A 4,466-nucleotide genomic window follows, 5' to 3' on the forward strand; every position below is an offset into this window, starting at 1 on the left:
TTTCCTGAATTCCACAGGCTCCTACCTTCCTTCCTCTGTCATTTTGAAAATAATTTTTCCTTATCTTAAGCTATATCTTGAGAAAGACCCATAATAGAACTTTCGATCTAGCTTGGGAGATGTTTTTGGTGGAGTTGTGTGTTCTTCCACTGGGAGGAAGGTGGGTAAACGAGGGAAAGTGGACATGTGGCAACTTTCTATACTAGGAGAAAGCAAAGGGAGGAAGTAGACTATTTTATCTGCCTCCAGGTCTGAATGTATTTCCAGATTCTCCTGGGCCAGGACAGACCAGCTCTGCATTGCAATAGGTCAGTTGCTATGTTGATCTTCTAAGCACATCTTTTCATGTGTCCTGGAGGTAGGACACTAGAGATCAGAGATATTTCCCTTCCTGCCATCCTACCTGCCCTTGAGTGACAGCTTCCCTTCATCTGTAAGACAGAAACCTTCATTTTCCCATGCTCTTCTTTACCCATTGAATCTCATATGCTGTTACAGTGAGAACTGGCCAGGGTTGGGAGGAGATTGGCACATATTAGGTAGATGCGCCTGGCACATAGTAAGCATGTGGGGGGTGTTTGTCGAGTGTGGGAATGGGAGTCATCCACTCTGTGGTGAAGCAGAAGTCTTGGCAGATGAGGGTGTAGAGGAAGAGGGTGGAGAGAAGACAAGAGGTTACAGGATGAGATGCTGGGAGCACAGAGTGTAGTCCAAAAATGTGCTGGGAAAGGAACAGGGAGCTTGGAGAGCTAGGAGAGGGCAGTGTCCTGGAAAGTTAGTGAGGAGAAATTTCTAGAAGGGGTAATTGTGTCCAGTTCTACAGATGCTGTCACAGGATTTGTTGATGCTTGTGACTCTTTGGAGAGCAGTTGTGGAGGCTGGATGGATGCAGATGGTAGACTGTAGGGGCATAAGGCGTGCACAGGAGCTGAGGGCCATGGGGCAGTGCATTGGTGAGGTGGGGGCAGTGGCGAGGAGGGTCAGGACTTTGCAGAAGATGTTTTGGGATGTGGAGACATGAGCAGGTTTGTAAGCTTAGAGGGATGAGAGGTTTAAATTCAAAGGGATAGGGTAACTAAGAAAGAAACCCAGTAGAGTGGGGGCATCCTGCCTCTCTTCCTGAGCCCAGCAAAGCCACCACAGAGTCAGACTTGGGACACAATGCTTTAATACATGAATTTGAGGAGCCGAAAGATGGCTTTTGGATGTGGCGTCTCCCACAGCCTAGCCTGGAATTCAGGCACCCTCATCATTAGGGCCTCATGACATCATTGGCGCTAGGGATTAGGTTTTTCAGATAGTTTATGATTCCTTTCAATGCTTTGTCCAGATTCTTCCCGATTTTATGGGCCAGTTTGGCAAGTTTTCCCTCTGAGGCGGTTGCTGAGGAGTACTGAGAGGGAAATGCCAAGTTAAGGCTGGTTCCCTTCCCCCCTCTCCCCTCCACCCCAGCAACAGCCTTTCACAGGGCTGGCAATCGATGCTTCATTTGACTCACACTCACATTTAGTTCTTGTTCCTCCACAGCCTCCTTTCTTTTTCTAACCCCACCTATTTCCACCCAAGTAGCTCCCAGCCCCTTCCTTTTCCTGCTCAATACCTGCCCGGGGGCTTGCCCCTTCCCTGGCTCATACCAGCCCTGGGAGCCAGTTCTGTAGTCTCTTCTAATTGGAGCTTAACATTTTTGAAATTGTCCTCTTGGGGTGTGTGCTCTTTTGACAGCATTCTTTTTGGAAACCAGCTCTTCTTTGGAGATGAAGCGCTCCTAGAGAGGCTTCATTGGAAACATGGTCCTTCTTGGGGTGGCTGCTAGGGGTGACCTGGGCAGCTGGAACCAGGAAGATAAAGGGAATGGGGGGCAGAGTGAGAGCACATGGTGAGAAGCAGTCAGCCATCCCATGTCATGTCCCTTAACATGTGGAGTCTATCAGGGTTGAGTCATTGCCTAATTAACATACAAGTAGGACTGAGGTCCCGTATCAGAATCCAAATCTATGAGCACCTGAAAGGCACATCTCTGATTTTGAATGCCATTGATTAGGAATTCCACTTTCCCCAGCAAATTTACCTTCCCAATGAGAAGGGATTAACTTTGCAAACATAGGTCCCATTGTCTGGCCCATTGGAGGAGTTCAGTAAATATTGTTTTTCTTTTTTTTTCTTCTGAATTCTGGGTATTGCTTGAATCTGCCTTCTCTGGCTTCTCCAAGGTAGATTGGGGGAAGCTAGCCTGAGATTAAACCATGTCTATGGATAATACACAAAGCAGAATCCTGAAATGTTCATGGTTTCTGGGCTGTGGCAGTGGGGAGCCTGGAACGGATGAGCCACTCCAACATCCTCACCTCCATGAGCTGAAACCTTTTACCTGCTAGCACTTGGGTGTGAGGTGTAGTCCCCATTCCTATCTCCAATGACTAGCCAGCAGAAAGGGCTATTCAAATGATTCCTGGCCCTCACATCTTGGTCAATAAGTGCAGCAGGAAGGATTAAGGTTCAATACTAGGAGGGCTTATCTTTGCTCCACTTCTTTCCCAAAGGGAGAATTCATCATTTACTGGACAATCTTTTACCACCAGTGACTTACTCTAAAGGATGCCAGCATGAGACTTACAGGCATCTGCAGGCTGAGTCTCCGAGTGAATTTCACCTTCTGGCTCTGAAAAAGAAGAGGTTAAAGTCTTCAGAGGTCTCAAGACAGTTAATATATGAGTTTTTCCCTCTGTAACCCCTCCTGCCCCAGCATTTTCAATCTTCCTTACCTTGCTTTACATCCTCCTTAGCATTTCAAACATACTTTGTAATTTACTTAATATGTTCATTGTTTGTTACTTTATCTTAGAATGTAATTTCAATGATGACTGAGTTTCTATTCTATTAGTGTATCCAAGTGCTTAGAACTACGTGTCTGGCACAGAGTTAGTGCTCAGTAAGTAGCTATGGAATGAATATGTGTGTACATATTGTACAGAGGGAGGCACGGAAGTCCAGAGAAAGGTAGTGACTCTGCCTGGATTATCCAGCATCACCAGAGGCTGGAATCTGATCTGAACCTCCATTGACCCAGAGTGCATCCTGATTTGGCCCCTCTGGCTCCTGCTCCAGGCTTTCTAGGTTGCAGAATTCCCGGGATCATATGCCCTAGTCCCTCACCTCCATACCTAGGTCATCCCAGGTGTGAACTTTTGGTTCTGCAGCTTTCCACCTCTCCACACAGCATATTACAAGGATTAAGGAAGGCCCTTTCTAGTGCTGAGGTCTCTCCAGCTGACAGCTCAATAACCCTTAGGGGACTGAGAGTTGTGGAAGGAGGCCAGATTCAACATCAAGGATGGCGAGAGAGGTGGCGGCTAGGCTGGCTGGCAGCAGGACCATGAAGAACTTCATGGTGGAGCTGTAGCAGGATCAGTTTTTCCTGGGGGAGGCTGCTTAGAGTTGCTGAAGAGGCAGCCTGGCAGGGGCTTTATTTATTTTGGGGTAGGGATGGACTCTGGGGAAACTGGACCTGGGAACATACTAGGTTTCCCCTCCTGAGTTTCCCATTCTGAATAGGTTTGTTTTTGGGAACTGGAGTTTCTGGGAAACCGGTTAACTGGAAAGTAAGGCCCCCAGCCTTCCCCCTGGCTCGGACCATGCTGAAGGTGTGTCGGCTCCAGCTTTTACCCCCAGAAGTCCATGGAATAAGGACATGGGTGTGAGTTTCCCTCTTTCATGGTACTCATTACTGTGTAATTTTACTTTCATTAGTATGATCATTTAATTAACATCTATCTCCTCCAGAAGAATGAAACTTCCAAAATGGCTGGGATTATATCTGTTTTGCTTGCCATTGTTTTTCCAGTACCTAGCAGGTATGTGGCACATAGTAGAGTTCTAGGAAATATTAGTGGAGTGAATGAATCAAGGAACGGTCAGGCTGTCCTCTAGGGCAGCGGTCCCCATCCTTTTTAGCACCAGGGACCAGTTTCATGGAAGACAATTTTTCCACAGCCAGGGGGAGGATGGGGATAGTTTCAGGATGAAACTGTTTCACCTCAGATCATCAGGCACTAGTTAGATTAGCGTGCAACCTAGATCCCTTGCATGTGCAGTTCACAATAGGGTTCGCACTCCTGTGAGAATCTAATGCTGCTACTGAGCTGACAGGAGGCACATCATGGTGGTAATGCTCACTTGGCTGTTGCTCACCTCCTGCTGTGTGGCCCGGTTCCTAAGAGGCCACAGACTAGTACCAGTCCGTGACCTGGGGGTTGGGAACCCCTGCTCTAGGGTGCAGATAAAACTCCCCATCAGTTCAGGAATGAAGGAGTGAGGCAGTTACAGAAATTCTGACTATATGCCAGGTAGTGTCCTGAGTTTGTTCCTATGGGATATCTCATTTAATTCGTGATGGTTTGGGAGGTATGTGTTATTTACCAAGGAAAAAAAAACTGATGTTCATAGAGGTGAGATTACTTGCATAAGGC

General features: G+C 47.2%; 1 pseudogene across 1 annotated transcript; it reads right to left on the minus strand.

Annotated features, from left to right (window-relative positions):
- Positions 1-1,168: 1,168 nt before the first annotated feature.
- On the minus strand, positions 1,169-3,444 carry GLYCAM1 (glycosylation dependent cell adhesion molecule 1 (pseudogene); annotated as a pseudogene). Its single transcript, NR_003039.3, has 4 exons — positions 3,162-3,444; positions 2,615-2,659; positions 1,601-1,828; positions 1,169-1,393 (listed from the first exon to the last, which is right to left on the minus strand). The product of NR_003039.3 is annotated as a glycosylation dependent cell adhesion molecule 1 (pseudogene) (transcript).
- Positions 3,445-4,466: the final 1,022 nt, after the last annotated feature.

Source organism: Homo sapiens, chromosome 12, assembly GCF_000001405.40.
Source record: "Homo sapiens chromosome 12, GRCh38.p14 Primary Assembly".
Taxonomy (NCBI): Eukaryota; Metazoa; Chordata; class Mammalia; order Primates; family Hominidae; genus Homo; species Homo sapiens.